The sequence below is a fragment of the Homo sapiens genome, chromosome 6 (assembly GCF_000001405.40).
Source record: "Homo sapiens chromosome 6, GRCh38.p14 Primary Assembly".
Classification (NCBI taxonomy): domain Eukaryota; kingdom Metazoa; phylum Chordata; class Mammalia; order Primates; family Hominidae; genus Homo; species Homo sapiens.
Genome location: NC_000006.12, coordinates 83,956,014 through 83,970,211, shown reverse-complemented (window position 1 = coordinate 83,970,211; position 14,198 = coordinate 83,956,014). Strand labels below are relative to the sequence as shown.

Genomic DNA, 14,198 nt, shown 5'->3' with positions numbered 1-14,198 from the left:
AGAAAAATTACATTTAAAAATAAACTACAGTACACCTGTTATTATTAATACATTCTAGCCTTGTCCAGTGTTTTTCCATTTCTATTATTTTCTGCAATTTGGACTGAATCCTAAATTTTTTGTAGCTACAAAGCTCCAAAATAATGTTTTCAATTTCTTTTCCTTTTTCCCATTTTCCCAGATTTGAAATCACTAAAAAAAATTAAGCTGCACTTTTCTTAAAGCCCTGTGAACCGAAGCTAGACAACTTAAACTTCAATGGAAAATAACAGCAACATATTTATATACATAAACCATTTTCATACCTGCCTACTGATATATGGACTTCAGGGTAATATGGCCTGTATCAGTTTTCTAGGATTGTTCTCCCTTTTTTGTTTCTCATTTCCTCCTTTTTTCTCTGTTCTCTTTCTCCCTTACTCCCCCTAATTCTACTTCATGGGATGTGGGACTTCACAACCTACTTAAAATGAGCTTGCCTAACAACATGGGACCTATCCATCTAGGAATAAACTGTCATAGTCATAAGAGATCAGGCAAAAGCCAAGACCAGAGACTCAGTTCTTTTAAAATGCCTTCTCTGAAAGATTTTAAAATGAAAGGGGGGATAAGTGTGAAAGGAAAAGAAAAACTTGGACCCCAATTCACCATGCCAAAAGGAAAAAATTAAGCTGAAAGCTGTGTCATGCAAGATGCTACCTTTCCTTTTGTTCCTAAGCAAATAGCTACATATAAAAGGATAAATATCTCCAAATAGCTACTCTATGTTCACCTTATCTTATGTAAAGTGCTGATTTACTGCGCATGCGATGAATACATAATTAACTATTCCCCTACCTGTTCCTTTTCTCTTGCAACATGAGGATTACTATCCCTTCCCTTTTTCCCCTGCAGCCCACTTTCCCCCTTTAAATATTGTAGCTTTTAAATTCATCTTTGGAGAAAGGCACAGACCACAGACTGTTTCTGTGACTTTGTGTTTTTTTCTTCTGGGCATGTTCTTAACCTTGGCAAAATAAACTTACAAATTGATTGAGACCTGTCTCAGATACTTTTTGGTTTATAAAGCAATGAACAAAATGTACTACAACATGTAAGTGGTTTGTTTCTTCTAACCTAGCCAAGCTTATGCAATGTCTGTATGTTCTTTGCCTTCATGGCTAGAATTATGGCTTTCATGATTTAATGTGTATATTACTGGACCAAACTTGAAGGTGTCTCTTCATGGCCCTGTTTGTCATTAATTGCTTGCCTTTTAGGTCTATCTGCTCCAAAAGTTCTCCCCACTCTGCCACTGGAGTTCTTCCTTGTTTCAGTTATTCACACATCAACTTCACAGTTGCTGCATGTACTATTACTTATTTTACATTTTTATTTTGGTCAAACAAATTGACATATTTCTCTAAGCTTATTCTTGAACTAAGCACTAACAACTGCAAAAATGCACATAAGATTTATCACAAATTCGAAGAAAATGTTCACAAAACATATCTGACCAAGGTCCTGTATCCAGAATACATAAAGCTTACAACTCAATATGAAAACAACCCAATTAAAAATGGGCAAAAGATTAAATAGATGCCCTACAGAAGACAATACACCAATAGCCAATGAGCATGTGTTAACATGTTCAACTTGGTTAGACATCAGACAAGTGCAAAGTAAAACCAATGAAAATAGCTTTGCTCTTCCTCCAGGATCCTTGGAATGATATTCCTCCTTTCCTTATATTTTTGTATTATGCTAGAATAAATCCTATTGTGGATTTTTAAAATTTGCTCAGTTTTGAATGAGGAGTAACCTTGCCTTGATCTTCTCAACAGATAGGTATATAAACTGTCTTTGGCCCTATTCTTTGCCTGTTTGGGTGCTGTTTTAATTCCTTTTCAGATGTATACCTAGATGGCTCACGCGCACAACTCCTAACTTAATTCCCAGTGTTTACTTGTTTTTTTCCTAGCATGGATTATCTAAGATATGATTTTCTCAAGCCTGGTTTTCTCACATTCTGAAAAAAACTGAAAGCATGAATGTTGTAAACCCTTAGCATAAACTACTAATAACCCTCTTGTTCCTGTTCCCCCTCAGAGAACTTTACTTATGGAAACTACACCTTCCAGGACTCATGTTGCTTCTGATAGTCTTCCACCTGGTTCATATAAAATTATTTTGGGGAGTTAACAATCTTTAGGTGTAGAGTGAAGTACTAGTGGATAAGACAGAAACTGTGATTGCCTTAAAAATCAGTCTCACAAAGAAGAGTGAAATTGCCATTTTCTCCTCTGGAAAGATCTTGTGGCCTGTCGTGGTGGCTCATGCCCATAATCCCAACACTTTGGGAGGCTGAGGCGGGCGGTTCACCTGAGGTCAGGAGTTTGAGACCAGCCTGGCCAACATGGTGAAATCCTGTCCCTACTAAAATACAAAATTAGCTGGGCATCATAGCGCGTGCCTGTAATCCCAGCTACTCAGGAGACTGAGGTAGAAGAATCACTTGAACCCAGGAGACAGAGGTTGCAGTGAGCTGAGATTGTGCCATTGCACTCCAGCCTGGGCAAAAAGAGTGAAACTCTAAGAAAAAAAAAAATAGGAAAGATCTTGTGTGGTCTGACTACACCATGAGGGAGGTAGTATTGTGAACCTTTGATTCCATCTCACAGCCCAGTTCTCTAGGAGTTTAACTTAGTGAAAATTCTTCTCAAAGTTTAATAATAGTTTGATCAGCAGAGCTAATTTTAATCCACTTCACCCCAGAAATATTTAAATGGAAAATACAGAGAGACTGGAGACCAGATGACATTTTTTATTATGCGTTTGCATTATTTCACATCTTCAGAATAACAATACTAATACAACCACTGCCAAAACTACTGAAATAGTTTAGCATATACCTATACTCTTTCTTTTTTAACTCTCATTTTGTTTTAGTTCTACAAGTTTAATGTTCTCCAATCCTTTTATTGATGACTTTCTAGTCTTTCTGGTTGTTTAAAGCTTGTTCTTTTGTAGATTACTTAGGAAAGGCTTTGGAAAACAATATTTCCCAAGTTTTTGCATTCTATATTGGTTTATGCCTTTATATTCACCATTAAGTTTTGTTGGGTGTAAAATCCTTGGCTCACATTTTTTTCCATCAGGATATCAAATGTGGTACAACACTTTCTTAAAGCATAAGGCAATGCTGTTGAAAAGTCTGGTGATGATCTAATTTTCTTTCCCTTTTAAGTAATTAGTTTTTGTTTAGATAACTAAAGGCATTTACTTTTCATGGTTCAGTAATTTTACTAAAATTTATATTAATGTTGGTCTTTTTGGATGTATACTCTCTGGTGCTCTTTCAACATTAATTTCAATTTTTCTTGTTAATTTCAGGATGATTTTTCATTAAGTAGAGTTTTTAGTATTCTTTTCCTTTGATTTTTGTCTTCAAGGACTACTATTATTCATATGTTGGATATTCTTTGCCTATCTTCACTATTTACCACTTCCTCTAGAATCCTTTTTATTTGTTTTATTTTTTGAGATGGAGTTTCACTCTTGTTGCCCAGGCTGGAGTGCAAAGGTGCAATCTCGGCTCACCGCAACCTCCGCCTCCCGGGTTCAGGCAATTATCCTGCCTCAGCCTCCCAAGTAGCAGGGATTACAGGCCTATGCTACCACACCTGGCTAATTTTGTATTTTTAGTAGAGAGAGGGTTTCTCCATGTTGGTCAGGCTGGTCTCAAACTCCCGACCTCAGGTGATCCACCCGCCTCGGCCTCCCAAAGTGCTGGGATTACAGGCATGAGCCACCGCACACAGGCCTCCTTTTTATTTTTATTTTTTTAAAGATTTATTTTTACTCTTTTCTTCTTATATAATATGTATTTCCTCTTATGTTCTTTCTAGTTTAGTCTTAGTACCCAAAAACATTTTTATATCTTTACTGAGATATGGTTCAAATTAGATACAATTCATCTACTTAAAATGTACAATTCAACATTTTTAGGTATATTCATAAGTATGTGCAACCATAACCACAGTAAACTTCAGAATATTTTAGCATTTCAAAAACACCCTCCCAACCCTTTAGTTATTATCCCCTATTCCTGTATCCCCTGAACAGCCACTTAATTACTTTATGTCTCATAGATTTTCCTGTTCTAGACATTTCATAGGAATAGAATCACTGCTGATAAAGACATACCCAAGAAATTAAGCCAAGAAAAAGAGGTTTAATTGGACTTATAGTTCCACATGGCTGGGGAGGCCTCAGAATCATGGCGGTAGGTTAAAAATACTTCTTACAGGGTGGCAGCAAGAGAAATGAGTAAGATGCAAAAGCGGAACCCCCTGATGAAACCATCAGATCTCATGAGACTTATTCTCTACCATGAGAACAGTATGGGGGAAACCACCCCCATGATTCAAATTATCTCCCACCAGGTCCCACGTATAACACATGGGAATTATGGGAGTATAATTCAAGATGAAATTTGGGTGGGGACACAGAGCCAAACCATATCATCCCACCCCTGGCTCCTCCAAATCTTATGTCCTCACATTTCAAAACCAATCATGCATTCCCAACAGTACCCCAAAGTCTTAAATCATTTCAGCATTAACCCAAAAGTCCACAGTTCAAAAGTCTCATCTGAGACAAGGCAAGTCCCTTCCACTTATGAGCCTGTAAAATCAAAAGCAAGCTAGTTACTTCCTAGATACAATGAGGGTACAGGTATTGGGTAAATACAGCCATTCCAAATGGGAGAAATTGGCCAAAACAAAGGGGTTACAGGGCCCATGGAAGTCCAAAATCCAGTGGGGCAGTCAAATTTTAAAGCTCCAAAATGATCTCCTTTTACTCCAGGTCTCACATCCAGGTCACGCTGATGCAAGAGGTGGCTTCCCATGGTCTTGGGCAGCTCTGGCCCTGTGGCTTTCAGGGTACAGCCTCCATCCTGGCTGCTTTCATGGGCTGGTGTTGAGTATCTGCAGCTTTTCCAGGCACCTGGTACAAGCTGTAAGTCGATCTACCATTCTGGGGTCTGGAGGACAGTGGTCCTCTTCTCACAGCTCCACTAGGCGGTGTCCCAGTAGGGACTCTGTGAGGGGGCTCCAACCCCACATTTCCCTTCTGCACTGCCCTAGCCGAGGTTCTCCATGAGAGCCCCGCCCCTGCAGCAAACTTCTGCCTGGGCATCCAGGCATTTCCATACATCTTCTGAAATCTAGACAGAGGTTCCCAAACCCCATTTCTTGACTTCTGTGCACCCACATGCTCAACATCACATGGAAGTTGCCAAGGCTTAAGGCTTTCACCCTCTGAAGCCATGGCCTGAGCTTCATGTTGGCCCCTTTCAGCCATGGCCGGAGTGGCTAGGAAACAGGGCACCAAGTCCTTAGACTGCACACAGCACAAGGACCCTAGGCCTTGCCCACAAAACCATTTTTACCATTTTTTCTTCCTAGACCTCCAGGTCTGTGATAGAAGAGGCTGCCACAAATGTCTCTGACATGCCCTGGAGACATTTTCCCCATTGTCTTGGAAATTAACATTCAGTTCCTTGTTACTTATGCAAATATCTACAGCCAGCTTGAATTTCTCCTCAGAAAATAGGATTTTCTTTTCTATCGCATTGTCAAGCTGCTAATTTTCTGAATTTTAATGCTCTGCTTCCCTTTTAAAACTGAATGCCTTTAACAACACTTGAGTCACCTCTTGAATGCTTTGCTGCTTAGAAATTTCTTCCACCAGATACCCTTAATCATCTCTCTCAAGTTCAGAGTTCCACAAATCTCCAGGGCAGGGGCAAAATGCCGCCAGTCTCTTTGCTAAATCATAACAAGAGTCACCTTTGCTCCAGTTCTCAACAGGTTCCTCATCTCCACCTGAGACCACCTCAGTCTAGATTTCATTGTCCATATCATTATCAGTATTTTTGTCAAAGCCATTCAACAAGTCTCAAGGAAGTTCCAAACTTTCCCATTTTCCTGTCTTCTTCTGAGCCCTCCAAACTGTTCCAATCTCTGCCTGTTACCAAGTTCCAAAGTTGCTTCCACATTTCCCGGTATCTTTGCAGCAACACCTGCTCTACTGGTACCAATTTACTGTATTAGTCCATTTTCACGCTGCTGATAAAAGACGTACCTGAGACTGGGGAAAAAAAGGGGTTTAATTGGACTTACAGTTCCACATGGCTGGGGAGGCCTCAGAATCATGGCAGGAGGTGAAAGGCACTTCTTACATGGCGGCCGCAAGAGAAAATGAGTAAGATGCAAAAGCGGAAACCCCTGATAAAACCACCAGGTCTTGTGAGAGTTATTCACTACCATGAGAACAGTATGAGGGAAACTGCCCCCATGATTCAAATTATCTCCCACTGGGTTCCTCCCACAACACATGGGAATTATGAGAGTACAATTCAAGATGAGATTTGGGTGGTGACACAGAGCCAAACCATATCAGGATGTTTGGGTTGTTTCCACATTTTAACTCTACGTGTAATGCTGCACCCAAGATAATGCTTCCATTCCATGAATGGGGGATATGCATCAAAAGAGAACTTTAACAAAGAAAGTAAACTCATTTTTGAATTTTAAGATCACTTTGGCATTCTGTTTTGAGGTCTGCTAAACTTGCAATGCTGGGTGAAAATGACTTCAAAATAAAACCAATGTTGAAAGACACCAAGAGACTGTAACTACTTGAGATTCCATTTTTCCTTTATAATTTATTTGCCACAATGTTAAATACTGTAGATCATACAGAATCTGTTTTTTCTGCCCAAAAATGGGGGTCTGTTATCAACAGACTCAGCCCCAACCTCGTTCAGGACAAGCTTGTGTGGTTCAGAAGGTAGATCACAGAGCAGGTTGTACCCATGCCTTTGCCAGCATAATGAAGTTGACTCTTTTGGGGTGGGTGTCAAAGCTCCTCTCATGTTCTGTTACATTAAGGTAAAAACTGAGGGCCCATAGCAAGGGCCCCTATCTAGACAAAACCTAATCATCTTATCTTGGACAAATTTCTCTGTTCTTTCTATAGCCTGTGGTAGACACAATGTGCCCATCAAAGATGTCAACACCCAAATGCCTGCAACCTTTGAATATATTATATAGGAAAAGGGACTTTACAGCTATAATTAAAATTATAGATTTTTAAAATAGGAAGATTACCCTGGATATCTGGATAGGTCCAATCTAACCACATGAGATCTTAAAAGCAGTGAACTCTTGCTAGGGCAAGAAAGATATGGCAGAAAGGGAATTCAGAGAGATTGAAAGCATAAGATTCATCTACCAATGCTGAAGAAGCCCACAAGGGAATTCAGAGAGACTGAAAGCATGAGATTCATCCACTAATGCTGAAGAGGGCCACACAGAAAGTATGAGAAGGAATGTGGGCAAATTCTAGAAACAAAGACTAGCCCACAGCTAACAGCTAGCAAGGAAATGGGGAACTCAGTCCTACAACTGCAAGGAACTGAAATCTACCTAATGAGGCTGAAAGAACTCTTATCTAGGGACTTCCCCTTACAGCCTCTAGCTAAGAGCCCAGCTCAGCTGACAATCTGATTACAGCCTTGTGAGGCTTTAAGCAGAGGACCCAGTTGAGCCATATTGTGCCTAGATTTCTGTGCCATGGAACTGTGAGATAATAAATGGGTGTTGTTTTAAGCTACTAAGTTTGTAGTAATTTGATCTAGCAGCAATAGAAAATTAATAAACTTTTTTTTAAAAAAAGCAGAATTTGCAAGCAAATGTGACTTTGAGCGTAATTCTTCTTCACTGCAAATATGTGATGTAGGAGTCTTTGAGTTATTTGCTTGAGAATAACAGTGATAAACTATACTCCTATCTGTGCTCCTCAGTATTTGGTTGCATTCATTGGAAGACTGAGGCTCTACTTAGGGGATTTTTTCCTCCAAGTCCTTCTAGAATACCCTGGAATGGAGAATGAATTTTAGGAGATCAGGACTGCAGCATGAAGATGAATTATCAAGCTACTGTACTAATCCAGCTGAGGGATGATAGGACAGGGTTAGCTGGTATGGAAGAGTCAGACTGGAGAAGGGGACATTGATGTTGATTCCTAATAGTTCTAGAATGGCTTACTAGGTGGATGGTGGGGTGGTATGCAGGAAGTAAATGGATATTGAAAACTGAAGCTCAGCTGATTCTCAAATTAGTCACTCCCATTTGGGAATTAACATGTAAGTTGATAAAATCATGTCAGTGGAGATTACCCAGGAGACACTTATGGATTTGTTTTAAAATATAAACAAAATATAAATATAACAAAATATAATAAAATATAACAAAATATAAACAAAATATAAATAAAATATAAACAAAAATATAAAACATAAAAGGAGGAATGAGGAAGCATTACATATAGCGACTAATAGGAGATTCTGTTGCTTGGGAAAGGAGAGAGAAAAAAGAAGAGGCTTAGAAAAGATGAGAAAGATGTTGGCTAAGTTAGATTTGATACATCGCAAATGAACTAAAAAAAAGTGGTAAATAGTCTCTTTTTATATTAGTCTATTTTCACACTGCTATAAAGAACTACCTGAGACTGGGTAATTTATGAAGAAAAGAGGTTTAATTGACTCACAGTTCTGCATGGCTGGGGAGGCCTCAGGAAATGTACAATTATGGTAGAAAGCAAAGAAGAAGCAAGGACCTTCTTCATAATACAGCAGGAGGTGGGGAGGAAGTGCCACACTTTTAAACCATCAGATCTCATGAGAACTCACTTACCATCATGAGAACAGCATGGGGGCAATCACTCCCATGATCCAATCACCTCCCACCAAGACCCTCCCTCGACATGTGGGAATTACAATTTGAGAGGAGATTTGGGTGAGGACACAGAGCCAAATCACCTCACCCTTAGATGGAAAAAAATAAGTAGGGGGAAGGCATGAAGCTAGAAAAAGTTCTTGTTACCTACCAGGGAACAGTACCAGTCCAGGACAGCTAGATTCCTGTCTTTGTGAATAATGATGATGGTGGAATTGGCTACAGAAGACAGAGGCACAGGAAAAAGTGATAGTGTTCAACCAGCCATTTGCACATAGGAAGCTTCACAAGCTGGGCGTCTGTAATTTGGGGAATATTAATATTGTGTTCCTCTTGAGTATATTATTCATTCAGCAAAGATTTAGCTGTTTACAAAATCATTTACAGAGAAATTGGAGACTCTTTCAATCCCCTATTTCTGTGAAAACATTGCAGCTGTACTAAGACTGAAAAATCCTAGTTAGCTTATACAGTAGCTACCTATGCATTCAACAGTTTCCTCACGAAAAGCTCACAATGACTATCCTTGATACCCTTTGCTGATCTGAATCTGTGAAAGTATTTGACAGTTGCACAAAGCAGCAGGAAGAGAAAATAAGTTGCCCACATGCAAGAACCTAAGAGGGCTTCCTGCTGAACCACCAGTTGTGGAGAAAGCAGCCAACCAGGGGAAGAACCATTCAAGGCAGAATGTTCCTCATTTTTCCAGCTGATTTAGATGGACTAAAGAATTAAAATTCAACCCATTCCAAAGCACCAAATAATAACTTTATGCTGTGGAACTAGACACTATACTTTCACTCTCTTTCCTAATGTCTTTGTTTTTGGCTAAGAGTAAAAATAGCTGTCAAGGTTCCCTCTCTCAAGCTCTGTTAACACACCTAGTCCAAAGGCGCATGTGTGTCATGTCTCTAATATATTTTATTGCTGCCTTTTAAAATTCCCCTTGAGACGCTGGCCCAATATTGTTGCATTCAACCACATTTCTACCACAAGGATTAAAAAGAACTTAAGTATAATTTTATTCTATTCTGCATCAATGCCATACACACACAAAAAAATGTTTGGATCACTTAATAAGTTATAACATTCTATGTTTTAACATTAATAACAAGGACATAAATGATCATTTCCTGAGTTAACAGTGCAAGGTAAAATTTAATCTGTATTGCTAATAAGACATTTTACAGCATAGAAACATGATCGAAGTGATCATTTACTTTATCATGTCATAAAACACAAGTGCTTATTGTAGAACAGTGATATAATTTAAATGGCAAGGAAATTTGTGATTCATAACAAAGAATCCTGTATGTATTTGTTGCCATGATTAACTTTCCAGGTCAAATATCAGTAGTAAAATAAGTTGTGGTACAAAAGAAAGCCAAGAAGTTACCTGTACTGAAGGAACATTTGATTTCATTTAAGAAACTGAAGGCTGGATTCTAGTTAACCTTTTGTTATGTACAAAAATGTTCTCTTAAAAAACCCTAAGCAATCACAAATTTAGATAAACTAGTTGAATAAAGGACAATGACAGCTCTTCATTATGCTGTAAAACTATGGATCTCATTTTTGGAAAAGTTGAGATCATGCAGCAACCTGAAAAACAAATAAAAAGCACATGTTTCTTAGGGAAAATGCTTTAAAATGAAGAAATAAGAGCAGTTTACCACCATAATCATGATACTTTTTCATTTTCCCCATTCACTATGTAGTTTTTTTTAAATAAAAAAACACTATCACCTCTTAAAAAATTAGTGATTAGTAACTCCTAAATATCATGAAATATCTAAGCAGTGCTCAAATTTTCAACTAGCTCATAAATGTCATAATTTTAAAAAATAGTTTCAATCAATAGCCAATTAAAATTTACTCATTATGATTGGCTGATAAGTCTTTTAGGCATCCTTTGATCTGTAAGATCCCCCAGACCCCCACTCCATCCTGCAATTTATTTGTTGACAAAAATCAGATTTTTATTTGTTGAGTCTCCTAAAACCTTCATTTTTCTACATCCCTGTGGTATTCCTTAATAATATGTCTTTATGTCCTCATATTTTCCATAACTTAATATATGGATCTAGAGGCTTGATCAGACACAGGTTCAAATCTTTTTGACAAGACTATTTCACAGGTAATGTTCCTCTATCTGGAGGCATGTAATAAATGGTTGCCTCTCTTTTTGAGTGCTAGCTACCATTATGATCTATGTATAGATCCATTAGTTCATTAAGCACTGCAATTGGTGATATTCTACTTCTATCATTCTTTATTCATTAATCAGCTGAGGAATCCTATAAAGAAAAATGTCTGCTCATTTATTATGTGATTATTCAGTAGTATGGCTCATATAACAAAGGGAGAATAAATGTTTGATTTTTTTCCCCTTTATTCACCAGTTTTCAAAGAAAGGAGTTGATTCCCCTACGATTCTATCTTCATTCTCCCCCTACTGAACAGGAAAAGCAGAAATACTGCGTATTGTTCAACTAGGAAAATAGTATAATAACTACTTTTTTACCACTTACTCTATTATAAATGTCACTTTGCTATGCACTTCACATGCATAGGTATTATTATTTATTCATTTTTATAGATAAGTGCACTAAAGCTTAGAAGGGTTAAGAACTGCCCTAGGACACCCAGCAAATGATTGTAAGATGCTTGTAAGTGGTAGACCTGGGATTTAAACCCCAGCTGGCAGCTCCCAGAGGGCATACACATACTCACACAAAGGGCCAGTAGGGCACAGGAGTTGAAGCCAACACAGTGCAGCAGTAAAGCCTCTCAGTATCTGGGCCCATGCTACCATTCCATCCTGTTCTCCCAGGCAAGCAGCTTCACTCTAGCCAAACCAGTCTAGTCTTTTGTATAAATCTGCACCCCTAATGCATCTGCCAGTTCTCCCTGCCTGTACTATCCCCTTCTCCATCTCTCTTGACTGGTAGGTTTTAGTCCACATGCTGTGCACATGACTTTTTTGACCATGCAGCTCCTGTCTCTCCAACACACACATCGCTAGGTAAAAGTAACCCATCTCTCCCGGAATTCCTGTAACATCTTGATTTTATCTCTAGTAAGATATTTGTGGTGTTCTGAGTCATACTTTGGTTATCAGCACGTGCATTTGTTTCTACCACTAGATAGTGTGGTCCTGGAAAGCAGAGACTGTTTTACTAACCTCTGTAATAAAGTACATATTTAATGGATAAAGAACCATTATTGGCCAAGTAATGATAAGCTGCTTATCTGTATTTTTTAAAAAATAGGTTTCTGAGTCTTTCTCTGTTATCATACCATACAGACTGACAAATGTTCACCAAATATGGAGAATATGTCTGGGATGGCTATATTTTTAATATAATCTATGTAGCAGACATGAGATTAACTTTGCAGCACTCTAGGAGTGGACATCACAATCACAAGAAAGACTCATTTTTCAGAACAGCAAAAACTATAATAAGAAACCCATATAATTGCTAATCAAGAAAAATACACCACATCCATTAAGATGATGAGGATAAGGAAACCAAAGAAATGAGTCCTAACTGAGAGTCACAAGGGCAGCTACTATGAATTTTAAGTACTAATTTGAATCAAGTTACATCTCAGAATGCAACTCTATGCAGCATGTTCAGGAGTGAGTAATAGCAGGAATCCACATGTAATGATTAATAAATACTCCTGAGCAACTCTGGGTAAGCCAGTTAGCACAGCATTGAAAGATTGGCTCTGAGGTAAAACTGAGAAAAGAAAGCCATATAGGTTCTGGTCAATTTTTTTTTTTTTTTTTTTTTTTTGAGACAGAGTTTCGCTCTTGTTGCCCAGGCTGGAGTGCAATGGCGCGATCCTGGCTCATTGCCAACCTCCGCCTCCTAGATTCGAGCGATCCTCCTGCCTCAGCCTCCCAAGTAGCTGGGATCACAGGTGCCCACCACCATGCTCGGCTAATTTTTGTATTTTTAGTAGAGATGGGGTTTCACCATGTTGGCCAGGCTGGTCTCGAACTCCTGACCTCAGGTGATCCACCTGCCTTGGCCTCCCTAAGTTTATGGTCAATTTTAAAAATGCAAAAATGATTCTAATTATTTAAAAGTATTATTATATTGCAATCTGTAAAGTACTCATTGAGATACTTCTAAAATAGCAGAAGCAATACAGCAGAAGACAGTACAGCTCTTAGCCTTTTTTCATAAAAAATTTTTTATATTCAAACTATGTTAGTCTTCATTGTAATTTTAATAGTTTTGCTTGAGCTTTAAAAGAGCAAAAGTTTACACAGAAACTTGAAAAATCTTTTTAAGTTGAGAGAGTTTAACTAAAACAACATTTTTCTTAAAGCATTAAAATAGAAATATATTTAATTAAAAATAAAATACATTTTAAATATGACAAGAAAAAAGTTTTTAATGTTTTTATTGATTGGGGGGTCAATCTTTTCTACAATTAAAATTTTAAATAAAAAAGCAAGATATAAGATTATCTATGAGGACTAAACTCTGATTTTTTTTTTTTTTTTATCTTGCCCAAATTCCTATCTAAGGGGTCTGGGAAGTCATGCCCTACAAACCATAAATTCTCATCAGATGGGTTTTATTTAACCCCATATATCGTGACTTACTTTCCAACCTGACTCTGGCATAACATTACGAGACAAGGAAGAAAATAAAAATGTTTTACCCCAAAACATGTTTCTTTGCCATGTCTTGAAATGGCCCTGCAAATCTGTCCTTTGTGGGGGAAAATTTGCATCTGTAAAGAATCCTATTAACATAGCTAGATCTTCTTCTTCCAGGCCAGTCCAATCCTGAAGAGGTTAACTAAGAGTCTAGTACCTTTTAAAGGTCTGAACAGGAAACATTGTCATCTATTATCTCTAAGGGCAGCCACTGTAAGACTTCAAAAGAACCTTGGTCTCCACAATCTTTTATCTTAACCTGAACATTCCCTTTCTGTGGATCTCAGGTCTTTAGACAAACTCAACCAATTGTCAACCAGAAAATGTTTAAATGTTTAAACTTACCTAGAGCCTGGAAACCCGTGCCCCCCCCAATCCAGCTTTGAGTTGTCCTGCCTTTCTGGACCAAACTAATGTATTTCTTAAATGTATTTGATTGATGTCTCATGCCTCCCTAAAATGTATCAAACCAAGCTATGCCCCGACCACCTTGGGCACATGTTCTCAGGACCTCCTGAGGGCTGTGTCACAGGCCACGGTCACTATATTTGGCTCAGAATAAATCTCTTCAAAGATTTTACAGAGTTTGACTTTTTTCATCAACATCTAGAAATGTTAGGTTAGTCACCTACTAAATAAGAATAGGGCACTTAGAACAGCCATATTTTAAAATTATCTAGAAATCCAATAGGGGCTATATTTAACCAAATATTTTAAAGTGCCATTTTAAA

At 38.1% G+C, this 14,198-nt stretch overlaps 2 protein-coding genes across 5 annotated transcripts in view; both read right to left on the bottom strand.

Moving 5' to 3' along the window:
- Positions 1-2,788: 2,788 nt before the first annotated feature.
- The window catches only part of RIPPLY2-CYB5R4 (RIPPLY2-CYB5R4 readthrough), a 114,064-nt gene continuing 102,654 nt past the window's right edge, over positions 2,789-14,198 (bottom strand). For all 4 annotated transcript variants that reach the window (NR_174604.1, NR_174605.1, NR_174603.1 and 1 more), the window contains one exon: positions 2,789-10,388. Coding sequence is in view for 1 of the 4 variants with exons in the window: in NM_001400774.1 (NP_001387703.1) it covers positions 10,334-10,388 (55 nt within the window). In the remaining 3 variants the exon portion in view is untranslated. The remainder of the gene's footprint in view (positions 10,389-14,198) is intronic.
- Positions 2,789-14,198, bottom strand: part of CYB5R4 (cytochrome b5 reductase 4) — a 107,735-nt gene continuing 96,325 nt past the window's right edge. The window contains exon 16 of the mRNA NM_016230.4: positions 2,789-10,388. Coding sequence (NP_057314.2) covers positions 10,334-10,388 — 55 coding nt within the window. The 3' untranslated portion in view covers positions 2,789-10,333. The remainder of the gene's footprint in view (positions 10,389-14,198) is intronic.